Here is a 20329-nt window from a genome sequence, read left to right on the forward strand (position 1 = left end):
AAGCCTGTCCTGGGCTACAGGGGTGAAGACACTTGGCCACTGAGGCTCAGGCAGGTCCTTTTCCGTGCTGCTTGCAGGAAGGAGATGGCAGCCCCACATGGTAGAGGCCCTCAGCTCCTTTGCTTCCTTGGCTACCAGAGCCTATTTCCAGCTTCACCTCACAGCCATGTGTGAACACGGCCCCGATGCCTGGAACAATCTCTGCGCCCACATTTGCGTGCCAAGGTGTGTGTACGTGAGGCCCTGCTCAGGCTGCGATGAAAATGCGAAGCACCTACTATTTTCAGCCTGAGCAGCTGCCAGGGCTTCTCAGCCAAGTTGGTGGAGGCAGCTCTCCACGCCCAAGCTGCCTGGTGTGAAACATGAAGAAAGCATCTGGGGTGGTCAAAACCTTCAAGCTTTCTGGAAACATGAGTTTCCAACACTCCACTTCAGTGTTATCCCTACAGAAACAGATACCTTTCCTTTTTACCAAAGCTCCTTGGAAGGAGCCACAATGGTAGTTTTATCTTCCACAGGTTTCTCTGAAGTACAGTGTGATGGAGGGACAGGGGTTGGCCTCTCCCCACCCCAGGCTCCCAAAGCATATACAGATTCAGGATGCTACAGGGAGAAATCGGAATGCTGTGTATGATGGGTACTAGCTCAGAGTCCCAGCCTAGGCAACAACTGACTCCCAGAGCAGGACTTGGGGGAGCCATTCTGTTCCCTCCCAACCCCAATTTTAAGATATGGCTCAAGTCACTGAAGGACCAGGATTTCATTTCCCTTTGTCCTAAAATGACTCCAAAAGAAAGAGTGAAAGTCATTGAGTTCAAAGAGGCCCCTTGGAAACAGGTGTGGACTATGAGGAATAGGCCAATGGGGTCCCTGGCTGGCCCTCTGAATAGGATACCCACCTAAAAGGCTTTGCCTGGGTCCTGTGGGTCCAGCCCACACCTGCGGGGAGATGGAAGGTCGTGTACTTCCCGTAAAAGGATGTGAAGCACAGTGCTTTAGCAAGGGATGGTCCAAGCCAAGACATGACGTGCCTGGAGAAACAACCGAAGTTCCACCCCTAAACCAAAGATAAGTTATGCTACTTCCGCCAGTGCCCTCCTCCCAGCAGAAACCTGTTAGTTTGACAAAACAGAAACCCAGTCCAGGCCAAGGCCAACCTAGCTGCCTGTAAATGGGAAAGGAATCTATGGGTGGGGAAGGGAGGTGGCAGAGGGTTCATTTCAGGCTCCCATGAAAGAGAAAGCTGGTCTTTAGTGCCTTGGCCACCATTTCCACGCTGCCCTCAGCACATTCTGTTGCCCTAGCCTAGCCATTACAATTGCCCAGTGGCCTTTCTTGGGCTACAGATCTTTGCTTTGTTCAACTGAGGAAAGCAGAGACATTCAGTAACACAGAAAGTAACCCGACAGAGCTGGCTCAGAGCCTGGATCTGCTGACTTCTAGCCCCATGGTCTTCCCCAACAGAATGTAGATGACCCACCCTGTCTCTTCAGTCACAAAGGGCTCTATTGACAAAAATATCCCCAGGACCTCTGCGACGGCACTCAGTAATGTAATCATTTCTCTGAGTTGACTGAGATTCCAACTTCAAGGACACGTGACGAGGTGATGGCCAGTCACCTGACTGGTGATCCTTTCCTCTTTCTTTAGGAGTGAAATACAGGGGAGAGAGCACCTTCCCACTCAGTAGTGAAGCTGAAGCAAGAGGCCCAAAGTGACTGGGCTAAACGTCATGCAGCAGGAGGAGCTGGAGGTGAAAGAAGACACCCAGTGCACCCCCCTGTTCACAGCAAGTCTCATTTCTCACCCCTTCACCTTGCAGATGGTGAACACATATCTGCCAGCCCTGCGCCCAGCATCCCAGCCAAAGTGCTTTTCCCTCCCACTCCCTCACTCTATAGAGATGCACCATCCCAACCCTGCAAAGGGCCAGCCAGCTGATGCATTAAGTTCCAAGGGCAGGAGCCAGGCTTTTTAGATTCTTGCCTCCAGTAACATTACGTGACCTCAAAGTTTTAACTCAAATAGAAGTTTTTTCAGAAACAAGGCCTCACTCTCTGTCATCCAGGGTTCAGTCTGGAACTCCTGGGCTCAAGCAATCCTCCCGCCTCAGCCTCCTGAGCAGCTAGGACTACAGGCCTGTGCCACCATACCTGGCTAATTTTTGTATTTTTTGGTAGAGACGAGGTCTCAGCATGTTGCCCAGGCCAGTCTCAAACTCCTGGCCTCAAGTGATCCTCCCGCCTTGGCCTCCCAAAGTGCTGGGATTACAGGTATGAGCCACCGTGCCCGGCTCAAGTAAAAGTTTAAACCAGGGCTGAGGAGTTGCGGGGCAGGTAGGACAGGAGGCTGGCATCTCTTGGAAGTTGTACTGCCTCCCTGGGAGGAGGTCTTGTCGCTCACAGCTGCACAGGAGGCTCTGTCCGCAGGCCCAGAGCCCCTCCGGGTGTTTCTGTCCAGCACTAAGCTCCTTTGCCCCTAAGTATGACAGGTCACTGGAAGCCTCTTGAAACACTGAGCGAAATCTGCCGCCTGACACGTTCTCCCTGGCTAGTTGGCTGCTTTGCATGCCTATGGGGCAAGCAGGCTATTTTTGCGCGGATTTCATAACCCCCTTTGTAGCTGCTGTGGCTGCTGATTGCACATGTGTTTCCAGCTCCACTCCCGTGGTGAGAATGTTTACAGAAACAGGCGCGTTGTCAGAGAATGTAGAGAAAGCAGGATTGAGAGATTAAGAGCACAATTTCCATGTCTAGACATAGTTCACGCAGCCGGCATCTGCTCCAATCAGGGTCTCCAGAACTCAGCAACTTGTGCTGATCACTCTCTTAACCACTTATCCCATCTCTGAGAACTTGACTATGAAATCTTCCAAGGCAGTGACAAGGCGTGAGAGGGGCTCTCAGATGTCTTTCCTGAGGATAAATCCAGGATGGATTTCTGAGTGTTGTGATAGGAAAACGATCAAAGCATCAGAAAAATCTGCAAACATCTGCATACATTTTTCTTTTTGTGATCTTAAACTGCAAGCCCAATTCCAGCCTCTGTGACAGGCTGCCTCTTAGTGTCTGGACTGGTAGGGTCGTCTTTATCACTACGTTTGTTGCTTATTTATCGATCCCAGTCTGCTTTCTCCTTTGCTTACCTTCTCACTCTTGTCAACCCGGTGACGAGTCTGCTCACCTACTGTGCTTTTAATGTATCCTGTTGCTCCTCTTTCCCACCTTTAGACACTATGCCCAGGCTCTGTCAGACCCCACTGTTATATTCTGTTCAATTCAGCTTTCACTTTCAGCCCCACCATGTTAAACAATCCTTTCTGCCGATCCTTTTTTGAACCTTTGATTCTGTTTGTTTCATGCCCCTTTCGTCCTAATCTTCTCTCCTGGCTCCCATCATTTCTGGTGTTAGGATTGCCCATCATAAGCTACCTTGGGCAGGATCTGTATCTGACTTAGCCTTGTTTCCGTCACAGCCTTCTTGGAGGACGTTTTCAAGAACAGTAATACCAGCCACCCGTCAAGACCAATGTAGCGGGCACTGAACTAATGCTCCACATGCACTTTTCAATTTTCTCTTAATCCTCATAATAATCTGCTGAGGAGGTTGCCCAAGTTTACCCATAAAAAAGCTGGGGTCTAAAGGGGTAAAGTTGCTTGCCTAGTTCATCGGTGGCGGAAACAGGCTTCAAATTTAGGTCTGCTCGACTCTAGAGCCTGAACACCTAGGTATCACCCTCACCCTCTTGTGAATGTATATTGAAAGAATCTGGGATGAATAAATAAATACTCAAGGCCCACAGCTTTCCAGCCATTTTGCTTCTCACATATATGCTCTGGCTCTTTTCTAACTCTCAAGGAAAGCAGAACCCTGCAAAGAGATCTAGGATGTAAACTCAGAGACCAACCTCATTCTCCTTAATCCCACACCCATCTCCTGCCAGTCCACAGTCCTGGGGCCTGTTACCCAAGAGGACAGAGCTTCCGTGCTTTGGCAGGGGAATGTGATCTCAGTCCCTTTTTGGAGGCTACCCCTGGGGTGGATGGTGGGGTGATGTGAAAAGGCATGGAGGGCAACTCAGGAACAACCGCTGCTGTTGTCCTCCCAGCCCAAGCTGGCCCATGCGTAGCCTGGGGCCATGGCCCAGAATCAGCCTTGCTGCCTGGTTTCTCAGGGTCACTTCTATTCAGGAAGAATTTCCCCCAGGTCCTTCCAGGTGGTCGTGCCAGTGCCGGTCACTTCAGGGGAACAGAGATGCAAGACACGGAAAAGGGCTATAAAAGATGATGGGGTAAGTGTCCACAGCATCTCTCTCCCCCTGCTATTTGAGGAGAATGCTAAATGTCCACAATTTAACTCTTCCTACCCCTCCTAAAGAGGAAGTATTCTTACTTTCTAGAAAAGACGCGAAGTGGCCCAAACAATAAAAGAAATAACAGAGGAGGGAAGGGAAAAGAAAGCAGGGAGCTGTGGGTTGATAAGTGACCTAGATGGTTCACTGTGGCTTCCAGAGGCTGGAGGACGGAAAAGAGGAGACAAGTGAGATCTGCCCATGTGGCTTAGGAATTGGATCCTGTTTAATGAAGAGACTGTTGTAAATAATGAATTCTTTAAAAAAAAATTAGCTGTACTCTGCAGAACTGTGTTGCTTTAGATATGGTTCCATGCAAAAACTAAGTCACATGTTCATACTCTTCAAAAAATAGAGAAAGAAGTGTTTTGGACTCCTTGGTATCTTTAACGTAGGACAAGAATCATCACTTTGAAGTCATGGTTCGCAGGGTTGCTCTCTTGATTTCTTGATTCCTGGCTTCTTGCCCTTCCTCCTCCCTACATAGACTAAAAGTGGAGAAGGTAGTTCCTGGAGGACAGGAAGGGGTTTTGATGCACAGTTGTGAGCCCAAATAAGTGCAAAGTAAATAGTTATTAAGAATCCAAGTATCAAAAGTTTCATGTGTCATGAGCTCACAAAATTATGTCATGTAAAAGAAGGATATCATATAATCTCAATTTTCAAAAAAGAAAATATGTACACATACATGTAAAATATAACAGTGGAGTTCTGAGTGTACTTTTGTTTTCATTATATTTTATTTTTGTATTATCCAAATTTTTTATAAAAAAAAATGTAGTTTCCCCCAGAAAACACTTTTTATAAAGGCAAGAAAATTAAATTCTGATGCATTTGGATGATAGGATAGGTCTTTTCAAAAGAGAGGAATAGCCTGAACATAGACCTAAGATCCTCAGAACTCACCAGGGAAAAAAATACTGAAGAAACCACTCTTCTTATTCATGGCACCTTCCTGGTAATGATAGGACATTCCCTGCTGGTGGGTTAGCTGGTTTACAAAAGAGAGTGGATGCACTCTCCCTTTAGCAAAGAAAACATATTTATTGTTAATTACTTAGACCAACAAATGTCTTCAAACCTGAAGAAATACTCCTCTTTAGATCAAGTAGAGCAGTTTTCTTGTAACTTTCTTGATATTTGTCACTCTCCACTTTGTATTGCATCAATACAGAGGGAAAGACAAGACAACTGAAATTAAAGTGAAAAGATATACATTCAAAACCTGGCTGTACTACTTACTAGCTCAGAGACATCAAGCAAGTCATTTATCCTTTCCAAATCTCACATTACCTGCCATTCAAGGAATGCAATACAATAAGGGTAATTAAAGGGAAAGGAAGAAAAAAATCAGAACCAAGAAAAGGCAGAAAGAGCACATACACTCCTTACAAGGGTGGATATTGTTTTTATTTTTGAGCAACAGCTTTACTCTGCATTTCCGGACATCCATTTTTGTTGTTATCCAACATCTGCCCACCGATATTCCTTTTGAAGACTACCCCATTAATCTTGAGAGTGGCTGGTACTCCCTCTAAGACATCGAAAGGGACTAGCTTTCCAAACTGAAGCCTTTGGCTAATCAGAAACTTTTCCAGGACTTGAATGTAGAGTGACCCAACATCATGAAGGCAATTGCACGTCTTACTCAACCTGGCCCAGCAGCAAGAGAACCAGTTCCTGTGACCTCACTATCCAGAACTCTCTTGGTTCCTATGTGCTTCCCAGGCTTGGTTTTTGAGCATTCCATCTATTTTGTGAGCCTCGCTCTGATTGTGCAACATTCCTTGAATGGCAGGTAAAGCAAACTTTGGGAGGCTTTTGGGTTTGTTTGTTTTTTTTTAAGGAATTAAGTAACAACATTTTAATCAATAAATATGAACATGTGTTTGTTAACCAGTTATTATTTGGCAGAAAAAAAAAGTCATTTACAAAGAATGCAAAAGATAACACCACCTTGAAAACAAAGTGCCAAAAGTCTTTGCCATAAACATTTCCTCACTTATAGAACTAGAAGTAACAAACATTTATTCAGAATAAGGCTTGAAATAATCTAAAAAGTTCCAGATATATTTTAAAGCTGTAACAGATTATTTTGCATGTAATGCCAAAATAGATTATTTTGCACATAGTAGACTATCTGACAACCCAATGAATAAATGATTGAATAGATGAATTGTTGAACATCAGAGAAAGTGAATACTTATGTTCACATTATGGGCCAGGCCTATATTCAACTCTTGGTCTTCTCCTGCCTCACTGTCCCTTGCTCTTCCAAGGGCCTTGGACAGGGGACTTTCAGGTAGGGCTGGAATGGTAAGGTGTAAAGTGAAATTTGAAAAGGATAAATGACTTGTCCACTGCCCCTGAGCTAGTCAGTGGTACAGCTTGGTCCTGAATCATCCTTTCAACAAATTCCTCTTTTCTTTTTCTTTTTTTTTTTTTTTAGATCAAGTCTCACTCTATCGCCCAGGCTGGAGTGCAGTGGTGCGATCTTGGCTCACTGCAATCTCTCCCTGGTTCAAGCAATTCCCCTGCCTTAGCCTCCCGGGTAGCTGGGATTACCGACGCATGCCACCACACCCGGCTAATTTTTTTGTACTTTTAGTAGAGAAGGGGTTTCACCATATTGGCCAGACTGGTCTCGAACTCCTGACCTCAGGCTATCTGCCTGCCTTGGCCTCAAGGGCCTGTAATCCCCAAAGTGCTGGGATTACAGGCATGAGCCGCCACACCCTGCCACAAATTCCTCTTTTCTGACTGCAATAGCCAGAATCGATTTCTGTGGTATGCAAACTAGAACCTTGGAAAAAAATAGAAACATAAGTTACACAGTTCTCAAATCTGGAAAAAAAAAAAAAAAAAAAAAAAGGATATAGACCATTTCCTCACAAGAGACAATGCTTTTTTGGGACTAAATTCAAAAAGTAACTCTCAAGGGGGAAGACACATGGAGGAGAGCCTTAAGTCATTCAATAGATCATGTACTTATGATGACCAGATAGTCTTTAACCTGGTATTTTATGTCTTGTTAACCCCGGCCTTGTTCATAAAAGTATCTACTATAATTTTGCTGAAGGAAGGACTAAACGAATGAGGATGCTTTCTAGAAACTTTTCTCAGCTGACATTCTCAATTGGTGTTCAACCACCCTTATCTAGAGGAGACACAGGATTTCCATAACAATACCTAAGACCCTCTTCCTCCTCAGCTCCAACACCCACCTACAAGATTGGCAGATCCTACATAATTACCCACACAGTGAGCACTTTCTATTTCTCCTGATTCTTCATTCTTCTTCCCTACCAGCAAGTTTATATCCTGTCAGAAATTATTATTTGTGCTTCTCTTTCCTGCACCTAGTCCAAAGCCAAAGGTGAAAGGTGATGGGAGTGAGCAGGAGGTCATGGAGCTTATCCCTGAGGACCTACATGGAGGGCATCTTGGAAGTTCACCGAGAAGAGCCGGTGGGCAGGATCAGGCAAAGTAGGGCTGGGCCCTCTGCTCCCTCAGCTCAGGAGCCCTTTTCCTGCCTCTCTAGTGGGTTTCATAACTCCATAGAAGATGATTCTGAATGCCAACCAAATAACTTCACACAATTAGAATGGCCAGCCAGACCTAAAATACAGAAGTCTAAAACTACTGCTCAGTGGGGCCTGTCAATGACATCAACAGGAGACAGACACCCAGGTTATCATTCTGCTAAGACCTTGCCTTTTACCCATCCTGCTGCTAAAGGAAGTTTTCTCCTTCTACGTTGAGTCATGTTAATCATAGATTCCCATTTTCTTAAACTTCTAATTTAAACTGTTGAGATTGCAAATCTTTAAGATTCACAATCAACTGGACCAATAATCCAATAGTATCTTCTACAAGAGTATTCTTCTTTAGGAGAGCTGGGCAGTGATGATGAACTAGTAGTATTCACCCTAGTAGGTCATTGCCTGGAGTCCCTGGGAGGCATTAGATTCCTGACATAAGTTGTGTTTCCTCAGATACCAGGAAAGGCTAGAGCATGGCAATAGCATTCTGGAAATAAAAAGTATCACTGCCTTCTCCCTCCTGCTCCTGTCCCCCACCACCCCCAGTTTCCTGCACAAGCCTTGTACAAGTGGGGAGAGCAACTTGCTCAAATCCAGACCCAGAAGTAAGGAATAGACCCTGGCATCCTAACAAGGCTGGAACCTGCTACACCAGAGTGCCTGCTTTTCATTGAGAAATACAAAGAAGCAGCAGCTCCTCCTTTGGCCCGAGGCCAACCTCCACAGTAGAGTCAAAATGTTCTATCACCCCTGATGCAAAGCATCTCAATCCCTGCTGAGTGGCTGGAGAAGCAGTGGGAGCAACTCAGCCTGGCAGGATCTGTATTTCACTGTCTCCCTATTATGGAGTAATATAAAAATATGTTACAGCAGCATCAGGCAAGCAAAGCATTACAGGAGGTCTGAATTCAAGGCCCGGTGTCACCTCAGCTCATTAGCTTTTCTATGGATGGCAAGGCAGATTCCCTTCCCCCTTGAACAAGCAAGAGACTCACTGTGTTGAGCCTTGCTCACCAAGTCAAGGCAGATCTCCAGGAAAATAGGCCTGCTGATGTGGAAGAAAAGAAGGCAAGCCAGAGCAAGGGGCCACCGGTGGCCTACAGGGGAGCCTCCAGGGCTGACCCCTTTGCTTTTCCTATTTAGCATTTATTTGAACTGAAATTTACATGTTTGGCTTCAGTCCAAGAACTAGCATTTTGTGAGAGAGCCTGAACCCAGCTTATTTTAAGTATATAATAATGACAACTAGAGGGACTTTTTGTCTGGCATCCTTCAATTTCCCAGAAAGGGAGAAAGGGATGTAAACTTACCTGCTTGCCCCACAAAGCTATTACTATCACATGTCCAGCCATCTCTCTCAGTGATGTTTTTCAGAAAGCAAAGGTTTAAATGAGTAGAGAGGAAAACCTTACCTGAACAAATGACAATTTTACAAATGTTGAGTTACATGAGTTCTCAGGTGTCTGAGAAGCTGGGTAAATATGTACCAAGCCTGAACAATGATATAGCTGTGGTTTTTCCATTTGAGCCAGAAGATGATGGACATCTCTGGATGGCACTGTATCCAGTGGTTGCTCCCATTTCTTTTCACAAAGGAATCACAATGAAAAGGCAAAAATGGCATTTTCAGTGCCTTGTTTGACAGGGTTAGGGAGGTGGGATGGGATGGCCATCCTGACCACAGGGGCATGGGAAGGAGAGTGGTAAGGAGGAAGAAAACAGAATTGTACACCTGAACACAGAGTCAGGAAGCACTTGTCATTGTGGCCACTTTAGCCACTCGCCCACATACATCACCGTAATAACCACTCAGTGGGCTTGGACAAAAGACAAACCCAAAAGTGGTGTGCAAAGGGTTTTGACCTTAAATACTTCACATACGAATTTACTTCCTCAAGAACTTTATCAGGCTGCTGCCATCTTCAAAGAACCTCAACATTATTGTCACAATCCTTAAATCAATTTGCAACAGGCACTTGAAGCTCTCTCAGAGACGAGAAGTGCATGGTTTGTTTGTCCTTCTCTATTGACCAAGTTTTGACTTTCTAAAATACTCTCCCTCCTTGAAAGTGGATTTCAAAAAGTGTTCCAGTTACAATTCTTTTAGACTCTGATCCTCTCCCAGATGTATAAACAAATATGTATATTAAACATCCTGTTCAAACAAAGTAGGGAAAACAGGCTAAGATTATGGGGCAGGGAAGCAGCAGTCTCTCTTTCAGTGCCTCTTTGCCATCCCCTACCTTGTGTCCATTAGAACATCTTCAAAATTACATGAGACTCATTGCAGCTTCTTCCTAAAACAAGGCTAGTGACACTTTAGCTCTAAGATTCCAAAATCATTTGAAGGAATAGCCTGTAGAACCAATCCTCTGTATCTTTGCATCTCAGATTGAATACTTCCAAAAATAAGCATTAAAACATATAGGCACCACTTATTATACTTTTATTAACTCACATAATCTATACAACCTCATTGGGAATGGGTATCCTTACACCCAATCAAAAGGTCATGAAACTCAAGCTGAGAGAGGTTGACTGTTTTAGCTAAGGTCACACAAACAATACATGGCAGAGAGGGGCTTGAATCCAGACCCTCGGCCTCTTTCTACCATGTCATAGCTGCCTCTCAAATGTGTCACAGGAGACCTAAATCTAGTAAACACTAAAGTGCAACAAATATCACATTCCCCTATGGGCTCCCCATCTTGTAAGATGCAAACTCCAAAGCCTCTAGAGGCCAAGCTCTGTGGAGCCCTAGAGAACTGCAGAGCAACTGCATCCTCTAAAGAGGTGGTTGCAACACAGTTCTAACACAAGGTGGCTATAAGAATGAGGAGTTCAGTGGCTGGCAAGATGGCTGAATAGGAACAGCTCTGGTCTGTAGCTCCCAGCAAGATCAACGCAGAAGGCAGGTGATTTCTGCATTTCCAACTGAGGTACCTGGCTCATCTCATTGGGACTGGTTAGACAGTGGGTGCAGCCCACAGAGGGTGAGCCAAAGCAGGGTGGGGTACTGCCTCACCCGGGAAGTGCAAGGGGTTGGGGAACGCCCTCCCCTAGCCAAGGGAAGCCCTGAGGGACTGTGCCGTGAGGAACGGTGCACTCTGGCCCATATATTACGCTTTTCCCATGGTCTTCCCAACCCACAGATGAGGAGATTCCCTCCAGTGCCTACACCACCAGGGCCCTGGGTTTCAAGCACAAAACTGGGTGGCCGTTTGGGCAGACACCTAGCTAGCTGCAGGAGTTTCTTCATACCCCAGTGGCTCCTGGAATGCCAACAAGACAGAACCATTCACTCCCCTGGAAAGAAGGCTGAAGCCAGGGAGCCAAGTGGTCTTGCTCAGCAGATTGCACCCCCACAGACCCCAGCAAGCTAAGATCCACTGGCTTGAAATTCTTGCTGCCAGCACAGCAGTGTGAAGTGGACGTGGGACTCTCGAGCTTGGTGGGGGGAGGGGCGTCTGCCATTACTGAGGCTTGAATAGGCAGTTTTTCCCTCACAGTGTAAACAAAGCCTCCGGGAAGTTCAAACTGGGTGGAGCCCACAGCAGCTTGCCAAAGCCGCTGTAGCCAGACTGCCTTGCTAGATTCTTGCTCTCTGGGCGGGGCATCTCTGAAAGAAAGGCAGCAGCCATAGTCAGGGGCTTATAGATAAAACTCCCATTTCCCTGGGACAGAGCACCTGGGGGAAGGGGCGGCTGTTGGCGCAGCTTCAGCAGACTTAAATGTTCCTGCCTGCCAGCTCTGAGGAGAGCAATGTATCTCCCAGCACAGCGCTCAAGCTCTGCTAAGGGACAGACTGCCTCCTCGAGTGAATCCCTGACCCTCATGTCTCCTGATAGGGAGACACCTCCCAGCAGGGGTCGACAGACACCTCATACAGGAGAGCTCCAGCTGGCATCTGGCAGGTGCCCCTCTGGGATGAAGCTTCCAGAGGAAGGAACAGGCAGCAATCTTTGCTGTTCTGCAGCCTCTGCTGGTGATACCCGGGCAAACAGGGTCTGGAGTGGACCTCTAGCAACTCTAGCAGACGTACAGCAGAGGGGCCTGTTAGAAGGAAAACTAACAAACAGAAAAGGATAGCATCAACATCAACAAAAAGGACGTCCACACAAAAACCCCATCCGAAGGTCACCAACATCAAAGACCAAAGGTAGAAAAGTCCACAAAGATGAGGAAAAACCAGCGCAAAAAGGCTGAAAATTCCAAAAACCAGAATGCCTCTTCTCCTCCAAAGGATCACAACTCCTCACCAGCAAGGAAACAAAAATGGACAGAGAATGAGTTTGATGAGTTGACAGAAGTAGGCTTCAGAAGGTAGGTAATAGCAAACTCCTCTGAGCTAAAGGAGTATGTTCTAATCCAATGCAAGGAAGCTAAGAACCTTGATAAAAGGCTACAGGAACTGCTAACTAGAATAACCAGTTTAGAGAAGAACATAAATGACCTGAAGGAGCTGAAAAACATAGCATGAGAACTTCATGAAGCATACACAAGTATCAACAGTCGAATTGATCAAGCGGAAGAAAGGATATCAGAGATTGAAGATCAGCTGAATGAAATAAAGCGTGAAGACAAGATTAGAGAAAAAAGAAAGAAAAGGAATGAACAAAGCCTCCAACAAATATGGGACTATGTGAAAAGACCAAACCTACATTTGATTGGTGTACCTGAAAGTGATGGGGAGAATGGAACCAAGCTTGGAAAGACATTCCAGGATATTATCCAGGAGAACTTCCCCAACCTAGCAAGGCAGGCCAACATTCAAATTCAGGAAATACAAACAACACCACAAAGATACTCCTTGAGAAGAGCAACCCCAAGACACATAATTGTCAGATTCACCAAGGTTGAAATGACGGAAAAAATGTTAAGGGCAGCCAGAGAAAAAGGTCAAGTTACCCACAAAGGGAAGCCCATCAGACTAACAGCAGATCTCTCAGCAGAAACCCTACAAGCCAGAAGAGAGTGGGGGCCAATATTTGACAACTTAAGAAAAAGAATTTTCAACCCAGAATTTCATATCCAGCCAAACTAAGCTTCATAAGTGAAGGAGAAATAAAATCCTTTATGGACAAGCAAATGCTAAGAGATTTTGTCACTACCAGGCCTGCCTTACAAGAGCTCCTGAAGGAAGCACTAATTATGGAGAGAAAAAAACGGTACCAGCCACTGCAAAAACATACCAAATTATAAAGACCTCAACACTATGAAGAAACTGCATCAACTAATGTGCAAAATAACCAGCTAGCATCATAATCACAGGATGAAATTCACACATAACAATATTAACCTTCAATGTAAAATGGGCTAAATGCGCCAATAAAAAGACACAGACTGGCAAATTGGATAAAGAGTCAAGACCCATCGGTGTGCTGTATCCAGGAGAGCCATCTCACGTGCAAGGACACACATAGGCTCAAAATAAAGGGATGGAGGAATATTTACCAAGCAAATGGAAAGCAAAAAAAAGCAGGGGTTGCAATCCAGTCTCTGATAAAACAGACTTTAAACCAACAAAGATCAAAAAAGACAAAGAAGGGCAATACATAATGGTAAAGGGATCAATGCAACAAGAAGAGCTAACTATCCTAAATATATATGCACCCAATACAGGAGCACCTAGATTCATAAAGCAAGCTCTTAGAGACCTACAAAGAGACTGAGGCTCCCACACAATAATAGTGGGAGACTGTAACACCCCACTCTCAATATTAGACAGATCAACAAGACAGAAAATTAACAAGGATATTCAGGACTTGAACTCAGCTCTGGACAAAGAAGACCTAATAGACATTTACAGAACTCTCCACCCCAAATCAACAGAATATACACTCTTCTCAGCACCACACTGCACTCATTGTAAAATTGACCACATAATTGGAAGTAAAACACTTGTCAGCAAATGTAAAAGAATGGAAATCATAACAAACAGTCTCTCAGACCACAGTCCAATCCAATTAGAACCAAGGATTAAGAAATTCACTCAAGGCTGGGTGCGGTGGCTCATGCCTGTAATCCCAGCACTTTGGGAGGCCGAGACGGGCAGAACACAAGATCAGGAGATCGAGACCATCCTGGCTAACACAGTGAAACCCCATCTCTACTAAAAATCAAAAAAATTAGCCAGGCATGTTGGCAGGCACCTGTAGTCTCAGCTACTCCAGAGGCTAAGGCAGGAGAATGGCATGAACCCAGGAGGTGGAGCTTGCAGTGAGCCGAGATTGCACCACTGCACTCCAGCCTGGGTGACAGGGCAAGACTCCATCTCAAAAAAACAAAAAAAAAAAGAAACTCACTCAAAACCGCACAACTACATAGAAACTAAACAACCTGCGCCTGAATGACTACTGGGTAAATAACAAAATGAAGACAGAAATAAATAAGTTCCTCGAAACCAATAAGAACAAAGACACAATGTACCAGAATCTCTGGGACACAGCTAAAGCAGCGTTTAGAGGGAAATTTATAGCATTAAATGCCCACAGAAGAAAGCAGGAAAGATATAAAGTTGACACCCTAACATCACAATTAAAAGAACTAGAGAAGCAAGAGCAAATAAATTCAAAAGCTAGCAGAAGACAAGAAATAACTAAGATCAGAGCAGAACTGAAGGAGATAGAGACATGAAAATCCCTTCAAAAAAATCAGTGAATCCAGGAGCTGGTTTTTTGAAAAGATCAACAAAATAGATAGACCACTAGCCAGACTAATAAAGAAGAAAAGAGAGAAGAATCAAATAGACACAATAAAAAATGATAAAGGGGATATCACCACTGATCCCACAGAAATACAAACTACTATCAGAGAATACTATAAACACCTCTATGCAATTGAACTAGAAAATCTAGAAGAAATGGATAAATTCCTGGACACATACACCCTCCCAAGACTAAACCAGGAAGTAGTTGAATCCCTGAATGGACCAATAACATGTTCTGAAATTGAGGCAGTAATTAATAGCCTACCAACCAAAAAAAAAGTCCAGGACCAGATGGATTCACTGCCAAATTCTACCAGAGGTAAAAGAGGAGCTAGTACCATTCCTTCTGAAATTATTCCAATCAACAGAAAAAGAGGCACTCCTCCAAAACACATTTTATGAGGCCAGTATCATCCTGATACGAAACCTGGCAGAGACACAACAAAAAAAAGAAAATTTCAGGTCAATATCCCTGATGAACATTGATGCGAAAATCCTCAATAAAATACTGGCAAACCAAATCCAGCAGCACATCAAATAGCTTATTGACCATGATCAAGTCGGCTTCATTCCTGGGATGCAAGGCTGGTTCAACATATGCAAATCAATAAATGTAATCCATCACATAAACAGAACCAATGACAAAAACCACATGATTATCTCAATAGAGGCAGAAAAGGCCTTCGATAAAATTGAACACCACTTCATGCTAAAACCTCTCAATAAACTAGGTGTTGATGGAACACATCTCAAAATAATACGAGCTATTTATGATAAGCCCACAGCCAATATCATACTGAATGGGCATAAGCTGGAAGCATTCCCTTTGAAAACCAGCACAAGACAGGGACGCCCTCTCTCACCACTCCTATTCAACATAGTATTGGAAGTTCTGGCCAGGGCAATCAGGCAAGAGAAAGAAACAAAGGGTATTCAAATAGGAAGAGAGGATGTCAAATTGTCTCTGTTTGTGGATGACGTGATTGTATATTTAGAAAACCCCATCATCCCAGCTCCAAATCTCCTTAAGCTAACAAGCAACTTCAGCAAAGTCTCAGGATACAAGATCAATGTGCAAAAATCACAGGCATTCCTATACACCAATAACAGACAAACAGAGACCCAAATCATGAGTGAACTCCCATTCACAATTGCTACAAAGAGAATAAAATACCTAGGAATATAACTTTTAAGGGATGTGAAGGACCTCTTCAAGGAGAACTATAAGCCACTGCTCAAGGAAATCAGAGAGGACACAAACAAATGGAAAAACATTCCATGCTCATGGATAGGAAGAATCAATATCGTGAAAATGGCTATACTGCCCAAAGTAATTTATAGATTCAATGCTATCCCTATCAAGCTCTCATTGACTTTCTTCACAGAATTGGAAAGAACTACTTTAAATTTCATATGGAACCAAAAAAGAGCCTACATAGCCAAGACAATCCTAAGCAAAAACAACAAAGCTGGAGGCATCACGCTACCTGACTTCAAACTATACTACAAGGCTACAATAACCAAAACAGCATGGTACTGGTACCAAAACAGATGTATAGACCAATGGAACAGAACAGAGGCCTCAGAAATAACGCCGCATAGCTACAACTATCTGATCTTTGACAAACCTGACAAAAACAAGAAATGGGGAAAGGATTCCCTATTTAATAAATGGTTTTGGGAAAACTGGCTAGCCATATGCAGAAAAGTGAAATTAGACCCCTACCTTACACCTTATATAAAAATTAACGAAGATAGATTAAAGACTTAAATGTAAGACCTAAAACCATAAAAACCCTAGAAGAAAACGTAGGAAATACCATTCAGGACACAGGCATGGGCGAGGACTTCATAACTAAAACACCAAAAGCAATGGCAACAAAGGCCAAAATTGACAAATGGGATCTAAATAAACTAAAGAGCTTCTGCACAGCAAAAGAAACTATCATCAGAGTGAACAGGTAACCTACAGAATGGGAGAAAATTTTTGCAATCTCTCCCTCCGACAAAGGGCTAATATCCAGAATCTACAAGGAACTTAAACAAATTCACAAGAAAAAAACAAACAACCCCATCAAAAAGTAGGTGAAGGATATGAACAGACACTTCTCAAAAGAAGACATTTATGCAACCAACAAACACATAAAAAAAAAAAAAAGCTCATCATCACTGGTCATTAGAGAAATGCAAATCAAAACCACAATGAGATATCATCTCACACCAGTTAGAATGGTGATCATTAAAAAGTCAGGAAGCAACAGATGCTGGAGAGGATGTGGAGAAATAGGAACACTTTCACACTGTTGGTGGGAGTGTAAATTAGTTCAACCATTGTGGAAGACAGTGTGGCAATTCCTCAAGGATCTAGAACCAGAAATACCATTTGACCCAGCAATCCCATTACTGGTATATACCAAAAGGATTATAAATCATTCTACTATAAAGATACATGCACATGTATATTTATTGCAGCACTGTTCACAATAGCAAAGACTTGGAACCAACCCAAATTCCCATCAATGTTAGACTAGATAAAGAAAATGTGGCACATATATACCATGGCATACTATGCAGCCAGAAAAAAGGATGAGTTCATGTCCTTTGCAGAGACACGGATGAAGCTGGAAACCATCATTCTCAGCAAACTAACACAAGAACAGAAAACCAAACACCACACGTTCTCACTCATCAGCAGGAGTTGAACAATGAGAACACATGGACACAGGGAGGGGAACATCACACACCAGGGCCTGTCGGGGGCTCAGGGGCTAGGGGAGGGATAGCATTAGGAGAAATACCTAATGTAGATGACGGGTTGATGGGTGCAGCAAACCACTATGTCACATGTATACCTGTGTAACAAACCTGCACGTTCTGCACATGTATCCCAGAACTTAAAGTATTATAATAAAAAAATTAAATAAAATTTTTTTAAAAAGAATGAGGAGTTCAGTGTTGCCAGAGAGTCCAATTTTCAAGAGAAGCTTGCAATCTGAGTTTGTGTATATTTGTGTGTGAGAGCAAGATCACTTCATTTTAGAAATATGGACAACTAATGCACACATTTTATATCCTTGTGCAGACAAAATACATGTCTTTAGGACAAATCTGGCCCATCTGAGGGGCTGGCAGGACCTGTAATGCAGGTGAATTGCTCTCTCTGGCTGGGGCCAATTATTTCCCTAACAGAGAACCACATCTCTACTTTGGGGATCCTTCAGATTCACTTTCCTTCTGAGGTGGTCCAGCTCCTGGACTCTACTGCTAGCTCATTGCTCATTCCACCTTCTCTCAGGGAGAGGCAGCTGGAGGGGAAAGAGCTCTGGTCCTATGGTCAGGAGACTGGGGCCCACTGCTTCCATGTGACCTGAGTGAGCCTCAGTTTCCTTGGCTAGAAGATGCATGATTTAAACATTAAATGGGGCATGTTGTTTAGATGCTTTACGGTACCATGCAAATAGAAGGTGGTTTCATTCTGACCACAGGAGCATAACTGGATGCCATCTATGTCAAAATTCACATGGTCTCCATGGAAAACTCTCTCCTTCTGAACTGGCTCTTCTGAACTGTATAATGTGCAATCTCTATGCCTTTCACTAGACATTTATCTACAACCTGCTTTGTGTCATCTGGGATTGGTATTAACTCCCCTGTTTTCAGCTCCTCACACGAGGGGAAGATTATTTCCCCAGTTAGATTGTGAACTCCAGAAAGCAAGGATCACAAACTATATTTCTAGCCTCTACCTTAGCCCTTTGGGATCCTCACCAAAAGTGTTCTGTCTGAATTAAGTAGAAAGTCTGGCAGATTCTTAGATGACCTGCATTCACCTTTCACTCCTTTCAGTTTAAAAGAAGGAATTAGATTTATTGAATAGTAGAGTGTGGGAGTGACATAGGGAAACTGAGGCAAGCTTGATATGGAGGAAACCAAAAGAGAAAAAAACTGTCATCCTATAAAGCCTCAAGCAATACCGGGAAATGACTGCAGGGGCCTTAGCAGAAGGTGGTGGAGACAGAGAGATGAAATAGGAATTCTGAACCCAAACAAGGACAGAAAAGGATGGGTTGCACTGCTTCCCACTCCTCTCCTCCCACCATTTTCTCATGTAAAGCAAGGGAACCAATAAACAGACCACAGTAAACCCAACCGGAAAAAAGCAAGCAAGTAGGGAACTCCAGCTAGAGGCAAGCTCCGGATAAGGAGGAGGGAAGGGAGGGGAGCAACAGAGTGGGACCCTTGCTTCTCTTCCTGCTTGCTCCCCCTGCTTGCCATGACCTCCCCCAGCGTGCTGGGTGGCCAGCAAGCCCATGAACCCCATTCCCAGGAGCCAGGTTTCTAGTGTGCAGCTGAGAGAGCCCTGGTGTGTTGATAGGATGCCCAGTCTGGTGTGGGAAAGGGAAGACCTGCCCTGCACACACCCATGGTTACTATGACATCCTCGGACGAGAGCCAGATAGGAACATCTTCACACAAGTGACTAAGACTTCAAGTTACATGCCAGACAGCATTGGCTTCATATCCTGTTTTAACTTCATGATCTGGATAATTACCAGGTCTTGTTAAGTTCTTCCTTGATGGCTGGAGTCTTGGGCTTTCCCAGGTGAATTTTAGTTTTACTGACACTGTTTAAAAAAATAATCTGATAAAACTAAGGTATTCCATAATCCTTGCTTCTTGATGTTATTTTGAAAAACAAACAAACAAACAAAGGCTTTCCATAGTTCAGCCTTTCTTTCCCAACCTCAGGGTTTAGAATGGTTGAGTCAAGCATTTACTGAGTTGTGTGGTCCTCTTCTCCCATCTTCCTCTTTGGCAAGAGTTCAGTTCCCTCTCATTCTTACCTCTCTTCATGCAACTATGATAGAAGATTTTGATCTGGGAATTTACAATGGAAAATATGATAATTTACTTGTCTGTGGTCTAATATTAATAGGAACACATTGTGAGGCTCCATTTTTGCAGCTTAAATAAAAATAAATAAATACAAGGTCCTGAGAAAGTAAATGGCTTATTTAAGCTTACACTACCTTGAATTGTGGGACTATACCTGTAGCTCTCAAATTCTGAAGCACTGCTCTGCCCTCTCCCCCACACTGGACTCTTACACTGGACTCTTAGAAAGTACTATTGTGTTCACTCTATGCCAAGTCAACTCAGGGCAAACGATCCCGACTGCAATACTGGAGGGAAAACTGAACTGGAGTTCCGAACACCCAGAGGCGGTTCTGCCTGGCTCGTGCCAACTGTGAGACTGTCCGCCCATCCCCACCTCACTCCCAGCTAACTGTGGGCTCCTTGCACTGGGCTTACAGTGGTGCAGGCTCTGATGAAGGGAGACAGAGTATGCGCTGGCTCCAGCTTCGTGAAGAGCACTTGAATTTCAACAGGAGATTCATTCCCCACTGAGAATAGCTGAACCTCATGAACTTGGTCACAGATCCTCCTTCCTCATCCCCCTCCACACAGCCCTTATCTTCTCCCATCTCAGTCACCTTTCTAGTCTTTCAGCTTTTTAAAAACATATATTTTATTTTAAATGTCTCTCTAATATTTTTGTTAATTTTAATTTTTATCTTTTAATTTTCTATTTTCTGTTTTTAATTTTTAATCCCTTTTATTATTTTAACTTTCTAATCATAAGGTATTGGTATTTTGTCTTAGTTTTTTATAATTATTATTATTTTTGTTTTTTATGTTTTTAACCACCATCTCATTGATTTATAA

At 43.8% G+C, this 20329-nt stretch overlaps 1 long non-coding RNA gene across 1 annotated transcript in view, besides 2 other annotated features; it reads right to left on the reverse strand.

The window, feature by feature from the left end:
• LOC102724945 (uncharacterized) overlaps positions 1–20329 on the reverse strand; it is a 244858-nt gene that overhangs the window by 169733 nt on the left and 54796 nt on the right. The window lies entirely within an intron of this gene.
• Positions 10440–11259: an enhancer, noted in NCBI's record as "H3K27ac-H3K4me1 hESC enhancer chr14:34608249-34609068 (GRCh37/hg19 assembly coordinates)". NCBI's record gives its function as "activates a minimal SCP1, AML or CMV promoter by ChIP-STARR-seq in primed H9 embryonic stem cells {active_cell/tissue: H9 hESC(primed)}" and the evidence as "EXISTENCE:reporter gene assay evidence [ECO:0000049][PMID:30033119]".
• Positions 11260–12078: an enhancer, noted in NCBI's record as "H3K27ac-H3K4me1 hESC enhancer chr14:34609069-34609887 (GRCh37/hg19 assembly coordinates)". NCBI's record gives its function as "activates a minimal SCP1, AML or CMV promoter by ChIP-STARR-seq in naive and primed H9 embryonic stem cells {active_cell/tissue: H9 hESC(naive and primed)}" and the evidence as "EXISTENCE:reporter gene assay evidence [ECO:0000049][PMID:30033119]".

Source organism: Homo sapiens, chromosome 14, assembly GCF_000001405.40.
Source record: "Homo sapiens chromosome 14, GRCh38.p14 Primary Assembly".
Lineage (NCBI taxonomy): Eukaryota > Metazoa > Chordata > Mammalia > Primates > Hominidae > Homo > Homo sapiens.